General features: G+C 42.6%; 1 long non-coding RNA gene and 1 other non-coding gene across 2 annotated transcripts; both read right to left on the reverse strand.

Moving 5' to 3' along the window:
* Window positions 1–213: 213 nt before the first annotated feature.
* On the reverse strand, window positions 214–7994 carry LOC105376229 (uncharacterized). Its single transcript, XR_930260.2, has 3 exons — window positions 7918–7994; window positions 5919–6041; window positions 214–292 (listed from the first exon to the last, which is right to left on the reverse strand). It is a non-coding gene; the product is annotated as an uncharacterized LOC105376229 (long non-coding RNA).
* LOC124902352 (small nucleolar RNA U13) lies at window positions 6801–6903 on the reverse strand. The gene has a single exon (XR_007061926.1). It is a non-coding gene; the product is annotated as a small nucleolar RNA U13 (small nucleolar RNA).
* Window positions 7995–20418: the final 12424 nt, after the last annotated feature.

Raw genomic sequence — 20418 nt, forward strand, 5'->3', positions numbered from 1 at the left:
TGACATTCTCTGATCTGCTCTATTTGATCACACACGGCCTTTTATCTTAGTGTTCACACTGGTTCTTTCTAGCCTTGTTTACTTCTCTCCATAAAAGAAAAACTGGTTTTGCCTAACCCTGGAGATGCTTACAAATCTCGTGGTTAAAGTGTTCTTTCTTTTGCAATAGTCCACTGACCTTTGTGAAAAATCTTCAAATAAAAGTTTTCTTACCTTGGTCTAGATTTGTTTTTCACTTGACACTGTATGGCTCAGTTCAGCTGGAAGCAGTTTTCTGTTTTCACCTAGTGTCCTGTGGATGAAATCACACGTAAACAAATGCAAAATTTGCATTATGCTCAAATTGTTCTTCAATATATCAATTGCATTGGAACAAATTTGCATTTTCAAAACAAATGTTAAAGCAGAACAGACTATAGATGTCTGGTCCAGACATTTTGAACCTCAGTGGTGGACACAAATTATTTACATGCCAGGGTCCCTGTTAACGTGACAGTTTTTTTTTTAACTTATGGAAAGAGAGATGCTAGGTGAGCGTTTTGGTACTTGGCAAAAATCCATGACATCTCAATCGTCTCTCACCCTTATCTTTGTCTTTAAGTAAATCCTTTATTTATTTATTTTGAGACGGAGTCTTGCTCTGTTGCCCAGGCTGGAGCGCAGTGGCACGATCTTGGCTCACTGCAACCTCCGCCTCCCAGGTTCAAGTGATTCTCCTGCCTCAGCCTCCCAAGTAGCTGGGACTACAGGCACCCACCACCATGCCCAGCTAATTTTTGTATTTTTAGTAGAGACGCGGGTTTCACCATATTGGCCAGGCTGGTCTTGAACTCCTGACCTTGTGATCTGCCTGCCTTGGCCTCCCAAAGTGCTGGGATTACAGGCATGAGCCACCATGCCTGGCAAAGTAAAACCTTTCTTCATGGGCTTCTTCTGAGAATTGACCTCAGATTCATACAAATGGTAGAAACTCAAGGTGAGAAGGAATTTAAAAATCGTGTACTCTGACATCTTCATCTTACAAAGAAAGAAAGCGATGTTGCTGACCATGAGCTCCCTGAGGCAGATCCTGGGCTAGATTCACATCTGAGACCCTCATGCCTAGCTCTAGACCTGGTACAATCAGGTACTCAGGTGTGTGTGCTGTTTTGAATCGAAATGAATTACCCAAAGGGAAAATAAATGAAGGGCACCCAAGAAGAGCTTGCTTCATGGGCTCTTTTTTTTTTTCTTAATGAGGGTTTCACTTTGTCGCCCAGGCTGGAGTGCAGTGGCATGACCATGGCTCACTGCAGCCTCAACCTCCTGAGTCCAAGCGATCCTCCTATCTCAGCCTCCCAAGTACCTGGAACCACAGGCACACACCACCACAACCGGCTAGGTTTTAATTTATTTCTTTTTACTTTGTAGAGACAAGATTCTCCCTATGTTGTCCAAGCTGGTCTTGAACTCCTGGACTCAAGCAATCCTCCCACCTCAGCCTCCCAAAGTGTTGGGATTACAGGCATGAGCCACTGTGCCTGATCAATGGCCTCTTGAATGACACCAACTGGTCAAAGTCTTCCTTCCAAAGCCAATCAACAATTCCCATTGTTGTCAGTCCCACCCTCCAGTTGTTTCCTAAACCACCAAAAATACAGAGCACCTTTGTGCTCAGGGAAGACTGAGTTGAACCTGTTTTCCCTCTTTGATTGTTTTTGGCTGTATCAAAGTGGGTGGTGTGGATTATAAATGGTCAGACTACACATTCTAAAATGTGACTCCTTTGAGAGTTTTTAATCTATCCTAGACACAGGCACAGCACGAAAAGAGAAAACATCCCAGCTTCATTAGGGGAAATTTATAGCTTGCCTAGGGTCACCATGGCAACCAAAAGACAGGAACTATTTGTAGATGCCAGTATCTGCAGAAGAGCTCAGGTAAGGGACGGAGCTACATTTACTGACAACAAACTATGCATCAGGTTGCTTAGCACCCATTGCTTTATTCAATCCTTAAAAACACATGTGAGATAGTGTTCTCCCATTCAGAACTGAGGAAATTGAGGCTCAGAGGCTGAAAGCCATTCATTGAAGACCACACAAGACTGATCTGAACTGAGGTCTGTCTGACTCTAAAGTCTCCATGAGTTGGGCCTTTTAAGATTGTGAGAGAAGCTGTGCTCAGGTTGAGGCAGATGGTGGAAATTGTTTTAAAAGTGCACAGATGGCCGGGCGCGGTGGCCCACGCCTGTGATCCCAGCACTTTGGGAGGCCGAGGCAGGTGGATCAGAAGGTCAGGAGTTCAAGACCAGCTTGACCAACATGGAGAAACCCTGCCTCTACTAAAAATATAAAAATTAGCTGGGAGTGGTGGCGCATGCCTGTAATCCCAGCTACTCAGGAGGCTGAGGCAGGAGAATCTCTTGAACCTGGGAGGCGGAGCTTGCAGTGAGCTGAGATCGTGCCACTGCACTCCAGCCTGGGCAATAGAGTGAGACTCCGTCTCAAAAAAAAAAAAAAAGTGCACAGACATATTGGCACCCTCAGGGAAGCGCATCAGTGGGATGGTATAGTCAGGACTCAGGAGGACACTATCCTCCCCCAGGATGCCACCATTCCCAAAAGCCAGCTCATTTGTTACTCTTCCTTTTTCCCACTTTAGTTTCTTCCTTCTGTGCTCCCTGAGAAAAAGTTGGGTTGCTTTCCTAACCATAATCACGTACAGGGCAGAGTTGTGGCCAACCACAATGGCTGTCTTGGGTCAAGGCTCATTCCTTGTCTAATCAGTTGAGTCTGGTGATTAGTATGGGTTCTCTCAGAAGAAAGGATTTGAATACAAGTTTGTCTTTGGAAGGTGCAGGGCAGACTGGTAGGTGAGTGTGGAAGTGACACAAAGACTGCCAGGCGCAGTGGCTCACACCTGTAATCCCAGAACTTTGGGAGGCCAAGGCAGGCAGATCACCTGAGGTCAGGAGGTCGAGACCAGCTTGGCCAACATGGCGAAAACCTGTCTCTACTAAAAATACAAAAAATTAGCCGGCTGTGGTGGTGGGCACCTGTAATCCCAGCTACTCGGGAGGCTGAGGCAGGAGAATCTCTTGAACCCAGGAAGCGGAGGTTGCAGTGAGCCAAGATGGTGTCACTGCACTCCAACCTGGGCGACAGAGCGAGACTCCGTCCCCCCACCAAAAAAAGAAGTGACACAAGAAGGGAAAGTGCGTTATTAAGCAAGCTACCATAGTGGGCAACTAGAGTTTACTTCCCTGGGGGGAAACCCACCATGAAACATATGCTTCAGAATTATCCCACCAAAAGGAGGAGGGAATAGATGTATTTATATACCAACTTCCTACTGTTACTGTTTGAAGGCTGCTCTCTGAGGATGCTAATTCCCAGACACTTTCACCCTCCCCTGTGTCTGGGAAGAGCCACCTTTCTCAGTTCTGCGGAAAATAAAAAAGCCTCTGGGCTAAGAGTCGTAAATACCGGAAGTTGGGAATGGGCTGGAGCCCACTAAAAGGTCACAGGGAAATAAGTGGAGCAATGACAGCTCTGCTACTTCAGGGCTACAGGTCACATGAGTAAAAGCATGGCAACCCGTGTGCAAGGATCTGCTGCCTCTGACCACTTGGCTCATGAATGAACTGAGGGAGTGGCAGACGCTGAGTGTGGTCTCGATTCTTCGGTCAACCCAAATAACAGAGAGAGAAGCTCTCCAAGAGAAAATGATGTTTGTTACTGAGGAATGAGCATTGCAATGGGAGTACAGGTGGGTATATTCGGGGAAGTAAAGGAAGACAATGATTGTTTTGTTTTGTTTTGTTTTTGAGACAGAGTTTCACTCTTGCCGCCCAGGCTGGAGTACAATGGTGCGATCTTGGCTCACTGCAACCTCCGCCTCCTGGGTTCAAGTGATTCTCCTGCCTCAGCCTCCCGAGTACCTGGAATTACAGGCATGTGCCACCACACGCGGCTAATTTTTTATTTTTATTTTTAGTACAGATGGGGTTTCGCCATGTTGGCCAGGCTGGTCTCGAACTCCTGACCTCAGGTGATCCACCCGCCTCGGCCTCCCAAAGTGCTGGGATTACAGGTGGGAGCCACCGCGCCCGGCCCGCAGAAGTAGTTTTTGTGGGCTATTGTAGCAACTTTTGTGCAAGGTTGTTTTTGTAGTCCCTTGTGACTGTTCTTGTTACCAGGTGCATGTGCACGAGATCCCCCCTTCGTGGCTTCATTTGTCAATTTGGTTTGACACAAGTGATTCCATTTTGATTCTGATAACTTTTGTACTTTTCTTTTTTGATCAAGATCTTTCTCTGAAAGCATCTTTGATTAATTATCTTTTGGTTAGCTTTTGACTGTCTGTTGGTGTGGAGGTAACCTGTCCTGAGTTGTTAGTCTGGTCCCACATCAGAAGGAATTAACTGGCAACTAGGAGTAAGTGTCAAAACCCTTTTAGCCACATTTGAGTAACAAGGGAGGTTTGGAGGGGGTGCCTGTCAGGCGAAGTCTATCTAGAGTCCATCGTCAAGTTTAATTTTGTCTGTTCCGTAGGCATTGGCTAGCATTCAAAGCCCTGGGACAGCATTATTGTTAGAAGTCCTACTGCTGCAGAAATTTAACAGACAACAGATACAAAGTTTAAAAAGGAAAACACAAAATATCACTGATACTACTATGATAATTTCAGCTTGCCTAATAGTTTTGAACCATGAACGAAGGTTTAAAGGCAACCGACTAATAAATCAAATGACTATGTCGAATTAGGTGAGACCTATTGCTTCCATGTGGCCTGTTTTCTTATTTTGTGTATTTGGGTCTCGACTTCCCCAGAGGAATTTATCTGAGTACAGCATGTAGTGTTAGCAATAGCACAGACACTGCCTTTTTCAGCTGGATAATCAAGAGCAATTCTATCATCTATTATCTCATGACTGGGTTGAGTTAAAGCAAAGAGTGACAGTTGTATTAGGGATTTTGTTAAAGTTACCTATTGGATGCACTAAAGGATTTTTTTTTTTTTAGGCTATGTAAATACTTAGGATTGGCATGACAGATACAACATTTGGTCAAGTTCCCTGCAGAAGCTGCTGAATGTGAAATTTTAATTACATCATTATTATGCCAAGTGAAAAAGTTAGGCATAAGCAAGGAAAAATTCAGAGGGGCAAGAGTCTCATTATGACGGGAAATCTTATTCCATCATTTTAGGAACAGCATGCCCACAGCATGAAGATGTCAACTGCTCATTCTGGTTTGTAGTTTAAATGTCTCTGGTTATGGCATTGGGTGGTTTGGTGAACTTTTGATGTGACCCACACATCAGGCGTGAGTCTTGACCCTTGAAATTTACATCAAGTTGTCTAACTTCAGCTTACAGGGCTTCAGGAAAGAGCAGTTCCCATTCTTAGTAATTCCATGGGAGAAAAGTGGATTGGAGGAACCTAGAAGAATTTAAGATCCAGTTCAATCCACAGGTAAATAAAAAAACTCAAACAAACAAACAAAAATACCCCACACAGGGTTACAATCTAATAACAGGTATAGTCTAGCTTTTCTTCAGAAACATAGAAACACGATTTTTCTTTCTACAGTCATTCTGATTTCTACCAAAGATAATCCGAGTAAGACTAATTTGTTGTTATTTGTGTTTTATCAAATTTGGCCTGATAAATTCACACAAGCACAGCAGAAATAGTAATTGACCACATAGGAATCTCAGATTTGACTTTTAAAAATTTCTCAAGGCTAGAAAGCTAATCTACGGCAGACTTCAGACTTTTTCTGCTATACCTATAAATAACTTAAAATATGACATTCCATTTAAAAGCCTGGTAACGTAACCAATGTTTCCAACTATACCTTGTTATTTAAAAAGCAGCTTCTAATTAAACTTATGCAGACAACTTCATTGCCATAAAAATTAAGCATACTCACAAATAGTTTCCAAATTTTGGAGGGACAGAGAAAAAGTAAGTGTTGCCAGTTTTGTTCACAAAAGTATACTTTACCAAATTGTTGTAAACTATAGATATCTTGAGAGAGAAAGTCTCCTTAAATCTGGAAAACAAAACATGTAAGTAAAAAACCAACAATGTTTCAAATATCTGTCTTCATTAGATATTTAATCTCATGTAATTAATTTTTGTTCTGTTTAATCTTAGTTGTCAGTTTCATGAATTTATCAGTTTCTTCATGGGGGTCCTGAATATCTTTATTTAGTCCATTGATCTTAAACTTATCAGAAACCCATATTCAGGAGTACTTGCCAGAGTCTTTTCCATGAATCTGATTGCAGATGCATTTAAAGAAGAATTAAAACTGTGGAAGACAGAGGCTTAAAACAGCCATGGTTAAAAATCTGATGAGAGTTCAGCAATTGACAAGGAAACTCAGTTATGTTTATTGCATACAGCATTTTAAGACAACAACCAGAAAAATGACTAACAGTATCACATTAGGACCATCAAACATTTATAAATTTTACATAATTTTTAGATCTTTCACATCAATAACATAGCCATATAAATATAACTTAGAGAAGACTTAGTGTCACTTTGTTATTTGATCCCATCTGTGCCTCCAACGCTTCTCATACAACTCAATACATCAAACAAGCCTAATTAGTTTAACAGCTCTACAAGCTGAAAAATACATTGTTTGAGGCTCTCCAGGAGCCCAACTAGAAAATCTCAAAGATAATTCTAGGTTGAAAAGACTTCATTTAGAACTCTGATATTGAGAAAGCTGGCCAAATATGTCAAAAAGTATAAAACATTTAATTAAAACAGAATTGCAGATCATAGTGAAATAATAGTTGTTCACTTAACAAGAGTGACTGAAGATTTCAAGGTCTGAGGGTGGCACATCTCACACACGAGTGTGAACACTCAGTCATCATCCTTATGAACTACAAAAGGATCGTGACTGAAGATTTTAAAAGTAAGCTGAGCATGATGGTGTGCACCTGTAGTCCCAGCAACTTGGAAGAATGAGGTGGGAGGATCCCTTAAGTGTAGAAGTCTCAGGCCAGACTGGACAACATAGTGAGACCCTATCTTAAAGAATAAAAATTCCAAAGGCAAATGCAGAAAGTTGCATGTATGTTTTATTAAAAAAAAAAAAAGGCTAAAGACTCAGTTTTCCTAAGTAATCAAAAACCTGGCCGGGTGCAGCAGCTCACGCCTGTAATCCCAGCACTTTGGGAGGCTGAGGTGGGTGGATCACGAGGTCAAGAGATCAAGACCATCCTGGCCGACATGGTGAAACCCCGTCTCTACTAAAAATACAAAAATTAGCCGGGTGTGGTGGCACACACCTGTAGTCCCAGCTACTCGGGAGGCTGATGCAGGAGAATCGTCTGAACCCGGTAGGTGGAGGTTGCAGTGAGCCAAGATCACGCCACCGCACCCCAGCCTGGCAACAGAGCTAGACTCTGTCTCAAAAACAACAACAACGACAACAACAAAAAACCAATAAAGACAGCATGAAGCACAGGAAATTACCTTGATAAAACACAGAATCTTTGTTTCCTAGACCAATTACCAAAAAATAAATACTCCTGCAGTGTAATTGCTTCTTATAGGAAGTCCTTTTAGATAATCTGAAAATCTAACCTAATGAAAAGGTACTTGAATTCAAATTGACACTGGATGAGTGTGTGTCCAAGGTTATGAGTATACACTATATTATAGAAGAAGTAAACAAAAAAAATAAGTACCTTGAGCAGGGAAACATATGGCTCTTAGAAAAAGTGAAAGCACATTAAGTTTCCTTGTTACATGGAATAATTCAGACATTTCAAGAAAAGCCAACAGCACAGAATCAAGTTATTCTTGGAGGAAAACATTGCTTTTCTAGACCTTTAAGACAAACATATCAGCATTAGGCCTCAACAGCAGAGTTAGAACCAGAGAAAATAAATGCAGAAGCTTACCAAAATGTCAAGGGAGTGAGTCATTAAGTTGATTAAGAAAAAAAAAAAGTGTGGCCGGGTACGGTGGTTCATGCCTGTAATTCCAGCACTTTGGGAGGCCGAGGCAGGTGGATCACGAGGTCAGGAGTTCGAGACCAGCCTGGCCAACACAGTGAAACCCCGTCTCTGTTAAAAATACAAAAATTAGCCGGGTGTGGTGTCATGCACCTGTAGTCCCAGCTACTCGGGAGGCTGAGGCAGGAGAATCGCTTGAACCCAGGAGGCGGAGGTTGCAGTGAGCCAAGACCATGCCATTACACTTCAGCCTGGGTGACGGAGTGAGAATCCGTCTCAAAAAAAAAAAAAAAAAGTGTGCCTTCTTAAGGGGAGAAGGAGGAAGAGCAGAAGGCAATGGTGTATGACCTGCAAATCATGTGCAATGAGGTGCAGCAGAAGTTGAGCTTCTGAGACATAAATCTGAAAATCTTCAAGAGAAAGACTCTATTTTGAGAAAGTAACTTACTAATTTAAAAGATAGCATTCTAAACCTAGAATTAGGGAAATTAAACAGAAACCATAAAACAGGAAGAGGTTATAGTTCAGAAGATGGTAAAAAATTTAAAGAATCAGATTTCAGGGTTTTTGTTTGTTTGTTTTTTTAGAGATAGGGTCTTATTATGTTGCCCAGGCTGGAGTACAGTGGTACCATCATAGCTCACTGCAGACTCAAACTCCTGAGCTCAACTGATCCTCCCACCTCAGCCTCCTGAGAAGGTTGGGGGGTGGGGGAGGAACTAAAAGTGTGCACCATCATACCTGGCTAATTTTTAATTTTTTTTGGTAGAGATTGGGGTCTCATGATATTGTCTAAGCTGGTCTCAAACTCATGGCCTCAAGCAATCCTCCTGCCTCGGCCTCCCAAAGCACCAGGATTACAGGTGTGAGTCACCACATCCAGCCAGATTTCAGAATTAAAAACCAAAACCTGTGGTAATTTTTTTTTTAACTAAGAGCAATGATACTCCAGGAAACCCTTGCTGCTTTAAACATAGAGAACTAGTTTTGGGTTTTGTATCAGTATATTCAATTTTCAGAAAAATTTATAAACAATTTCCTTCTAAATTTAGCCAACTTGATTACATACAAAATTTATTTCATAAGATTCATGTTTCACAAACCTTTTGCAAGTTGCTCAAACCTCTTATGGCTTGCTTAGGCCTAATTTTGTTTTAGACTTTCTTTTTTAATATTGGAACAAATAATTATTCTACCTTAGGACAAAAATTTGCTTTTCTTTTTCTTTATCATTTTTACCACACAAGATTCTTTCTCATACAAAGTTATGTATCTTTTTCATCTTTCTTACCAAAGATACCTTCTCATATTTATAATTTTCTTTGCATGTCTCTTCCTACTTATTGATTTCTTTGCCTTGTTTTTATTTTCTTCTTAAATCTATATTTTGAAACCACCTTTAAATAATGTCTGAATTAGATATAATTATTATTTTTAAATTAAAAACATATATTCATGTTCTTTTTTAAAACAATTTTTTACTGGCTAGGTGCAGTGGCTCACATCTATAATCCCAACACTTTGGGAGGCTGAGGCAGGAGAACTGCTTGAGCTCAGGAGTTTGAGACTAGCCTGAGTAACATAGCAAGACTCCATCACTACAAAAAAAAAATTTAAACAATATTAAAGTAGCCTTATTCATCAAAGAATTACACAAAGATAATTTTGCTTTTAAGGCTGGATTTGTGGGTCTATGACCTTAGAACATCTAGCGGAGACAAATATAGAACTTTCTGACCAGTAAACTCAGGCAAAAATTTATGCTAAGAATTCTGAAGACATTTTTATTTTTATTTTACCAACAATTTTTTTTTTCTTTTCTTTTTTGAGGTGGAGTTTCACTCTGTCACCAAGGCTTGAGTGCAATAGCACGATCTCAGCTCACCGCAACCTTCACCTCCCAGGTTCAAGTGATTCTCCTGCCTCAGCCACCTGAGTAGCTGGGATCACAGGTGTGTGCCACCATGCCCAGCTAATTTTTGTATTTTTAGTAGAGTTGGGGTTTCACTATGTTGACCAGGCTGGTCTCAAACTCCTGACCTCAAGTGATCTGCCCACCTCGGCCTCCCATAGTGCTGGGATTACAGGTGTGAGCCACCATGTCCAGCCTATTTTACCAACAATTTTAAGATTAGTTTACTTACAAAAGATTTACCCACCAGGCGTGGTGGCTCACGCCTGTAATCTCAGCACTTTGGGAGGCTGAAGCAGGCGGATCACGAGATCAGGAGTTCGAGACCAGCTTGGCCAACATGGTGAAACCCTGTCTCTACTAAAAATACAAAAAATAAGCCAGGAGTGGTGGCGCATGCCTGTAATCCCAGCTACTCGGGAGGCTGAGGCAGGAGAATCACTTGAACCCAGGAGACGGAGGTTGTGGTGAGCAAAGATTGTGCCACTGCACTCCAGCCTGGGTGACAGAGCAAGACTCCATATCAGAAAAAAAAAAAAAGTATAGATTTATGTTCATGTGAACTTAAAAGCATTTGTGTTAATTACTATATTTCTAATAAATTACTTTTTAAGCACTTAATTATTTTCCTTCAAGCCAATTAGAGATCTCTGTAAATTTAAAATAATATACATAAAATATGTAGACACAAAAACGTAAAAACATATAGATGAAGAAAAACAAAAAAATTATAGTTTTTACTTTAAAATTCTAATCATCACACAGTAAAACAGTAATAAACTTGTCAGCTTATAAAAATACAGTTGGATCCAAATTATATCCCTAACAAAATGGGACAAGTTAGGGTCATGTTCATATGGCTAAACTTGAAAATTTTTATTTGTCCTGAGATGTAATATTATGAAGGCTGTGAACCAAATTTTGGGCAGTTTCCATAGCACTTTGGTTTTAAAAAGGCTTTTTTTTTTTAACCTTCTCCCCCCCTTTTTTCAGTTTCAAATGAGTTGTTCTAGTGAACTCTTGGATGTTTATATTTCATTTAGGGGTTGGAGGAAAAATGAAAAGCTCCAAGCAGCCTTTAGTGAAAGATTTATCTTGGCTGGGCGCGGTGGCTCACGCCTGTAATCCCAGCACTTTGGGAGGCAGAGGCAGACGGATCACAAGGTCAGGAGATCAAGACCATCCTGTGAATGGTGAAACCCCGTCTCTACTAAAAATACAAAAAATTAGCCGGGCGTGGTGGCGGGCGCCTGTAGTCCCAGCTACTCGGGAGGCTGAGGCGGGAGAATGGCGTGGACCCGGGAGGCGGAGCTTGCAGTGAGCCGAGATTGCGCCACTGCGCTCCAGCCTGGGCGACAGAGCGAGACTCCGTCTCAAAAAAAAAAAAAAAAAAAGATTTATCTTAATACAAGTGAAAAAATTAGCAGATTCAGAATAAACAACAACAACAAAAGTACATAGAGCGATCAGAAGCCTCTTCATGCATCCAACGTTTAGACTGCTTAACTCTGTAGTTGAGGTTTTCTGAGAAAAACAAGTTTAGAAAATTCAAATAATTCCCATAATGGCCATAAATTATCCTTGGTATAGATTGCCCATCAGTTTAAAAATGTGCATGAGATTAGGCCATCAATTTTGAATATCTTTCCAGCTGGAATGCCATCCCAGAAAGTCTGGCATGCCTAGAATTTTGAGAATCCTGTCCAATTTTTTATTAATCTTTTGAGAGCAGAAGAAACCCCTATAAGCCCTGCTGGGAATGTCAGGGGCTTGGACCCGTGTTTTTTTTTTTTTACAGTGTACCTGGCACAGAATACTTTTTTTATACCTGGCAGATGGCCTTTATCCGAAGTTGTCCAACCTGTGACCAAGTTTTTCCTAGTCACATGGCAATTTTCTTGAGACTGGCAGGCACCCCAGTAATAATCATACCTGTTTATCTTAACATGGGAGACTTTTTCTTCAGGGACAAGAGTCCCTCATAGATGGTGGCAACTACCCTAGTGGCTTTTATTTTTTATTATTTTGAGACGGAGTTTCGCTCATGTTGCCCAGGCTGAAGTGCAACGGCACGATCTCGGCTCACTGCAACCTTCATTTCCTGGGTTCAAACGATTCTCCTGTCTCAGCCTCCCGAGTAGCTGGGATTACAGGCATGCACCACCACACCTGGCTAATATCGTATTTTTAGTAGAGATGGGGTTTTGCCATGTTGGCCAGGCTGGTCTTGAACTCCTGATCAGGTGATCTGCCCGCCTCGGCCTCGCAAAGCGCTGGGATTACAGGCCTGAGTCACCACGCCCAGCCCCTAGTGGCTTTTCATTGGCCCACCTGTGCCCACCACTTAGAATGTTTATTTTTTGCCCTCAGAAAATGTTCAGAAACAAGCAGGGAAAAATAAAAGAACCCCCAAATCATTTGCAGATACACGTAACCAATCCAAAATGATATCAAAGTAAGACAGCCTCAAAAATTTTAAGCCAGGTGTGTGGACCACAGGAAATATTATATCAGGCATGCAGAAAAAAACAAAAGAGAATTCACCGGAAAAGGGGTGCCTCACAGAGAGAACATAAATTCTGTACAAACCAGACTTTGCTCTGTGATGATGCTATCCTCATAGGACGTGCTTGCCAGAAAAGACAAAAGCCTTTTATAGTCCCAAGAAGGATGCAAGGTCATTTATTAAGGAGGTCTTGGCCGGGCGCAGTGGCTCATGCCTATAATCCCAGTACTTTGGGAGGCTGAGGCGGGTGGATCCCTTGAGGTCAGGAGTTCGAGACCAGTCTGACAAACATGGTGAAACCCCATCTCTACTAAAAATACAAAATTAACCAGGAATGGTGGCGCATGCCTGTAATGCCAGCTACTTGGTTGGCTGAGGCAGGAAAATCGCTTGAGCCTGGGAGGTACAGGTTGCAGTAAGCTGAGATCGTGCCATTGCACTTCAGCCTGGGGAACAAGAATGAAAGTCCATCTCAAAAAAAAAAAAAAAAAAGGCCTTATTACCAGACCAGACCCCAAATAAAGTCAAAGAGCTTCTACAAAAAAAGAGGGAGGTTCAGCCTGAGAGAAGACTCACCAGAGGCTGGGCATGGTGGCTCATGCTTGTAATCCCAGCACTTTGGGAGGTTGAGGTGGGTGGATCACTTGAGCCCTGTGGAAACATAGAGAAACCCTGTCTCTACAAAAAAATACAAAAATTAGCCAGTTGTGGCGGTATACACCTGTAGTCCTAGCTACTTGGCAGACTGAATAGGGAGGATGGCTTGAGCCCAAGAGGCAGCAGTTGCAGTGAGCCAAGATTACATTACTCAAGGTGATCTTGACGTAGGTCTCACTTCTAACTCTAAGTCAGGGGTGTCCAATCTTTTTCTCTTCCCTGGGCCACATCGGAAGAAGAAGAATTGTCTTGGGCCACACATGAAATACACTAACACTAACAATAGCTGATAAGGTAAAAAAAAAATTGCAAAAAAATCTTGCAATGTTTTAAGAAAGTTCACGAATTTGTGTTGGGCCACATTCAAAGCTGCATACATGCGTGATGAGAACTCTCCCTTCATGGCCTTCCCCAGCCATATGTTTGGGTTTGACACAAGTAACTCCATTTGGATTCTGAAAACTTTCACACTTCTTTTTGTTTTGAGATGGAGTCTCGCTCCGTTGCCCAGGCTGGAGTGCAATAGCACGATCTTGGCTCACTGCAACCTCTGCCCCCCAGGTTCAAGCGATTCTCCTGCCTCAGCTTCCCAAGTAGCTGGGATTACAAGCGCCTGCCACCACACCCGGCTAAATTTTGTATTTTTAGTAGAATCGAGGTTTCGCTATGCTGGCCAGGCTGGTCAAACTCCCGATCTCAGGCGATCTGCCCGCCTCAGCCTCCAAAAGTGCTGGGATTAGAGGTGTGAGCCACCGTGCCCGACCTAACTTTCACACTTCTTATAGTAAAAGAAGAAAAAAAACTCTGCTCACATCATTTTTTACTTCTGACACCAAATGTGTGTGGGGTTTTCCTTCACTTTAAACAATTTAACAGCTCTCTGGCCACCATCTGGGTGTCTTACAATACAGTTATGACGCTATCCACCTAGAGTCAGACCTTAACCACAGGTTAAGGTCTCAGTCCCAGCAGACTGTCCCCTACTTCAGATATCAGTTGAAAGTAGTGAGTTCCCAAGTTACTCACTCCTCTGTCCAACGTGGCTACAACGTTTCACCAACTTCACCAACTTGGAAGCTCTCTGAACCTTTTGTTTTTTATTTATTATTTATTATTATTATTTTTTTTTTGAGATGGAGTCTTGCTCTGTCACCCAGGCTGGAGTGCAGTGGCGTGATCTCGGCTCACTGCAACCTCTGCCTCCTGGGTTCAAGCGATTGATTCTTTAGCCTCAGCCTCCCGAGTAGCTGGGACTACAGGTGTGCACCACCATGCCTGGCTAATTTTTATATTTTTAGTAGAGATGGGGTTTCACCATATTGGCCAGGCTGGTCTTGAACTCCTGACCTCGTGATCTGCCTCGGCCTCCCAAAGTGCTGGGATTACAGGAGTGAGCCTCCGTGCCCGGCCTGATGCCATTTCAAACAAGGACCTTTTCATTGATGTTTAGTATGAGAGATTCTTGGGACCTGAGATCTTTTTTTTTTTTTTTAAATCCAGAGTTTGCTAATCCAGACTTCACACAACCTACCCCGGAAGTTGTAGATGAAGTAATTCAGGATTGTCCTGTGAATGTCAGACATCTTCCCTGCAAGAATATTGTCCTCTCTGGTGGTTCAACTATGTTCAGGTACTTTGAATATTGCTTATGAGAGATTTGAACTCTAAGATGCCAGGAATTAAGTGAGGAATTGAGTAGCAGTAGATTGAGGCCAAAACCTATTGATACACAAATCACTACACAACACATGTAGCAATACAGTCTGATTTGGAGGATACATGCTGGCGTCTATGAGTACGCCATGCCAAAAAGGATTATGAAGAAACTGGACCTAGCATTTCTCATCACAATCCAGTGTTTGGAGTCCTGTCATAAAACTGACCTCATAGTTATTGGGGTTAGAGAGGTGGGGAAGAGATCAGCTTTCTGATTACCTGTTTTTTCTGGATGGCTGGTTTTGAGGTTTTATACCTGGCTGGAGGCTGGGTGCAGTGGCTCAGGCCTGTAATCCCAGCACTTTGGGAGGCTGAGGCAGGTGTATCACCTGAGGTCAGGAGTTCGAGACCTGGCCAACATGGCGAAACCTCATCTCTACTAAAAATACAAAAATTAGCCAGGCGTGATGGCGCACACCTGTAATCCCAGCTACTCTGGAGGCTGAGGCAGGAGAATTGCTTGAACCTGGGAGACAGAGGTTGCGGTGAGCCGAGATCATGCCACTGCACTCCAGCCTGGGCAATGAGTGAGACTCCGTCTCAAGAAAAAAAACAAACAAAAAAAACTGGCTGGAAACAGTAAGATTAAACATGATCATACAGGCGTATTTTTGTAAGTATACCACCATGCAGATGTAGAAGACAGCGAAAATGATTAAGTGTATTTCTTCAGACAGAATATTTGAATTTTATGTGTAACAAAAAAAAAGTGGGTTTTAGTTCTTTCTGAGCCTTGATATTTTTAAGGAATTGTTTAAGATTTGATGGGTTTTTTTTTTTTTTGGTGTGTAGATAGTTCCATGATGCTTGAATTGCACACACCTCTACATGTGCAATGCAAAAGCTTGTTTATATTTCATACTGTTTATACTTTGAGAAAAAAATTAAAAGAAAACCTGTGATATTTGAAGGGGGGAAGTGACCAAGTAAAGGATAAATTTTTAAAAATAGACTTATGAGGGCCAGATGCGGTGGCTCATGCCTGTAACCCCAGCACTTTGGGAGGCCGAGGTGGGCAAATCACGAAGTCAAGAGATCGAGACCAGCCTGATCAACATGGTGAAACCCCGTCTCTACTAAAAATATAAAAATTAGGTGGGCATGGTGGCGGGCACTTGCAATCCCAGCTACTCGGGAGGCTGAGGCAGGAGAATTGTTTGAACCTGGGAAGCAGAGGTTGCAGCGAGCCAAGATTGCTCCACTGCACTCCAGCCTGGGTGACAGAGAGAGACTGCCTCAAAAAAAAAAAAAAGAGACAAAATGCATAGGAAAATTAAGGATAAGATTTTATTAAGGCTATTGCAATAGGGAGAGCCATCTAGATGTGAAGATCAAAGTATTCTGGCAAAGTAGCTTTGCCTTAGACCTTTATAGTTAGGAATGGGCAAGTCACAGTTGCATAAGGAACAGTTAGAATGGTTTTGCAATCAGGGGAAGTCTCTACCAGCTGAACAGAAAATGTTTACTTTTGTCTCTAGTTTCAGGGGGACAGGCAATTCTAATCTTAATTGCTCATGAAAAAAGGAACTCGAAGTTGAAGGGTCTGCATTTGACCTTGTCACAAATACCTGGAAGTCATCTGTGAATCCTATAGAAGGGAGTCTTATCTAAATTAGTGGAGCCTGGAGCAGTGGCTCACACCTGTAATCCCAGCACTTTGGTAGTTCCAAGGTGGGCAAATCACCTGAGGTCAGGAGTTTGAGACCAGCTTGGCCAGCATGGTGAAACCACATCTCTACTAAAAATACAAAAATTAGCTGGGCATGGTGGCACACACCTGTAATCCCAGCTATTCAGAAGGCTGAGGCAGGAGAATCGCTTCAACCCAGGAAGCAGAGGTTGCAGGTTGCAGCCAGCCGAGATCGCTCCACTGCACTCCAGGCTGGGTGACAAGAGTGAAACTCCATCTCAAAAAAAAAAAAAAAAAAAAAGAGAGACCTCCATCTCTACAAAAAATTAAAAAGTTAGCCAGGTGTCCCAGCTACTTGGGGGCAGAGGTGGGAGGATTACTTGATCCTGGGAGGTAGAGCCTACAGTGAGCTATGAATGCACCACTGCACTCCAGCCTGGGCAACAAAGTGAGACCCTGTCTCAAAACAAAAACAAAAACAAAAAACAAACATAGAAGAAAAAGAAATAATTAATTAATTAATTAATGGGAGGAGCCAGTGGTTCTTACAGGTAAGCAATTTCCAGGAACACAAAAGGATGAGGGGAGTGTGAAAAACAAAAGGTTGGGAGATGTCTTAACTCTTGCCGTTTTCCAGGAGCATAGGGCTTAGGTAAAGTTCAACGTTGTTAATCTCATGAAAAAAGTGTGAAAATTAAACAAAAAGGGGCACACACACATAGGCTCTGGCTCCCTGCATCGGAGATGCCAGAAAGAGCAATCTCTTAAAAGGCATTCCTGCCATTCTCCTGCTGCCCTCCCATTGCTTGCTTGCTTGCTTGATTTATTTACTTTATTTATTTATTTGTTTATGATGGAGCCTCACTCTGTTGCCCAGTCTGGAGTGCGTGGCACTATCTTGGCTCACTGCAACCTCCACCTCTCGGGTTCAAGCAATTCTCCTGCCTTGGCTTCCTAAGCAGCTGGGATTACAGGCGCCTGCCACCATACCCAGCTAATTTTTGTATTTTTAGTAGAGACATATTTCATCATATTGGCCAGGCTGGTCTCACCTCCTGACTTCAGGTATCTGCCCACCTCAGCCTCCCAAAGTGTTGTGATTAGCAGTGTGAGCCACTGCACCTGGCCCCCATTGCTTTGAGATAAAGGCCAAAGTCCTTAGCAAGGCCTCCAGGCCCCACTGAGCTGGCCCCTGCCTACTTCTCCGGCCTCACCTCAGGGCCTTCTTCCCCTCTGTCTGTGCACTCCAGCTTCACTGCTCTTTCTGGAACACTCCATTCTCTCTTTTGCCTCAGGGCTTTTACTCAAGTTGTTCTTTCTGCCTCAAAAGCTCTCCAACCCTCCTAACCTCAAACCCTACCCCAATGTGGACACCTCAAGCTTGGTTAGTTACCTCTTCCTCATTCTTCAGTCTATATTGTCACCTGAAGAGTGATGAGGGTCACAAATTTCGAAGGCAGGGTTCTATTTCTCATAAAGGGTTGCAGCCTGCAAGTTGGGCCATTCTTTTTTTTTCTTTTTGTGACGGAGTTTCGTGCTTGTTGCCCAGGCTGGAGTGCAGTGGGGCAATGGGGCGATCTCAGCTCACTGCAACCTGTGCCTCCCAGGTTCAAGCGATTCTCCTGCCTCAGCCTCCCCAGTAGCTGGGATTACAGGCACCCGCCACCACGCCTGGCTAATTTTTGTATTTTTAGTAGAGACGAAGTTTCACCATGTTGGCCAGGCTGGTCTCGAACTCCTAACCTCAGGTGATCCACAAGGTGGCCATTCTGACAGGTTGGGAAGCATAGCCTGTGACAGAAGATGGGGAACAGGAGCTTCAAGAATGGGAAGTGTAGAGGCCGGTGCAGTGGCTCACGCCTGTAATCCCAGCACTTTGGGAGGCTGAGGCGGGTGGATCACGGGGTCAAGAGATCGAGACCCTCCTGGCCAACATGGTGAAACGCTGTCTCTATTAAAAAATACAAAAATTAGCTGGGCATAGTGGTGCATGCCTGTAGTCCCAGCTACTCAAGAGGCTGAGGCAGGAGAATCGCTTGAATCCAGGAGGCAGAGGTTGCAGTGAGCTGAGATCATACCATTGCATGCCAGCCTGGTGACAGACCGTGACTCTGTCTTCAAAAAAAAAAAGAATGGGAAGTGTAAAACAGAAATTTATGCTGAGCTGGTTGGCTGAGTATACATACGCAGTAAGCTATAGAAGGACTCATGAATATTTATGAAACAAGAAACATGCACATGTACAATTGAACTTCATGCCTCTTCATGGGTTGCATGTTCCAAAAACTGCGACATTAGCATGATCTGAGGGAGGTGTTTTCAGCCCTCTGATGTCAAAAGGTGAAGCAGAGGACACAGAGCTCACTGTCCCTCACTGCAGCCTCTATACCCTGCCCAGAACTGCTCTATGGTTGGTGACCTCTTAACAGGAAGGAGTGCTGGTCAGTTGCTGTGTGGAAACTGCAAAAGAGACGGGGAGTCTGGTCACGGCCTCAGGTGATTGACTAGAGGTGATAAAGGAATGAATTCTTTGTTTCTTGTTTCCTTTTTTTCTGTATTAATGTTATTTTTAAAATTTTTCTGTAGAGACAGGATCTCACTATGTTGCCCAGGCTGGTCATGAACTCCTGAGCTCAAGCAATCCTCCCAGCTAAGCCTCCCAAAGTGCTGAGATTACAGGTGTGAGCCACCACGCCTCATCTGTTTCTTGTTTTCTAGAGCTGCTCTCTGCTTATTCCTTAGGAAAGAATTCTGGCTGAGGTTAGTAAGGAAGGGGCCTCCTGAGGTGTGTCTGACCTCCTGTCCCAACATGACTGGGAGCTCAGCATTTAAAGATTTTCTGGGATCCGGTTGGCCAAGAGGGGGCCCATTCAGTTGGCTGGGAGGTTTAGGATTTTATTTTTATTTCTCATGATCAAGTTACTTTGTTAAAAAACCCTTGGATATCAAAATTCTGTTTTCTAGAGTAGCATCAACAGAAATATAATGCATACCACATGAGTAGTAATAAATTTTCCTGTTGGGCACATTTTTAAAAGTAAAGAGAAAAAGTAAAATAGATTTTTTTTGTTTTAACAATGTTTTATTTTTAATTGTAGTAAAATATAATATAAAAGTTATCATCCTGACCATTTTTAAGTGTACAGTTCAGTAACATTAACTGCATTCATATAGTTGTGGGATTAAACTCCAGAACATTTTCATCTTACAGAACAGAAACTGTCTACATATTAAACAACCCCTGATTCCTTTCTTCCCTACTCCCCCATCACCCGCCTTGCTCCTGGCAACCACCATTCTACTTTCTGTCTCTATAAGTTTGACAATGCTAGGAACCTCTTATAAATGGATTAATACAGTATTTGTCCTTTTGTGACTGGCTCATTTCACTTAGCAGAATGTTCTATTGTATGCATATATGTATATATATGTAGCTATCGAGCGCTTGAAATATAATAAATATTATTATATACATATATTGTGTTTAAATGTTAAATATATTATTTACATAATATAAATATAATATTAAACAATATCTGTAATAATTTTTTTTTTTTTGAGACAGAGTCCTGCTCTGTCACCCAGGCTGGAGTGCAGTGGCACCATCTCAGCTCACTGTAACCTCCGCCTCCCGGGTTCAAGTGATTCTCTTGCCTCAGCCTCCTGAGTAGCTAGGATTACAGGCGCACACCACCATGCCCGGCTAATTTTTTTATATTTTCAGTAGAGATGGGGTTTTGCCATGTTGGCCAGGCTGGTCTCAAATGCCTGACCTCAGGTGATCCGCCTGCTTTGGCCTCCCAAAGTGCTGGGTTTACAGGCATGAGTCACTGCACCCAACCTAAGAGTTTAAATATCTTAAATTTAAATATCTTTAAATATCCTAAATAAATTAAACACTTCATTCCATAAAATAGAATAAGTGTTCCAATGAGCCGAGCAGAGTCTCCTGACCTCGTGATCCACCCACCTCGGACTTCCAAAGTGCTGGGATTACAGGTGTGAGCCACCGCGCCTGGCGGATTG

This window comes from Homo sapiens, chromosome 9 (assembly GCF_000001405.40).
Source record: "Homo sapiens chromosome 9, GRCh38.p14 Primary Assembly".
Lineage (NCBI taxonomy): Eukaryota > Metazoa > Chordata > Mammalia > Primates > Hominidae > Homo > Homo sapiens.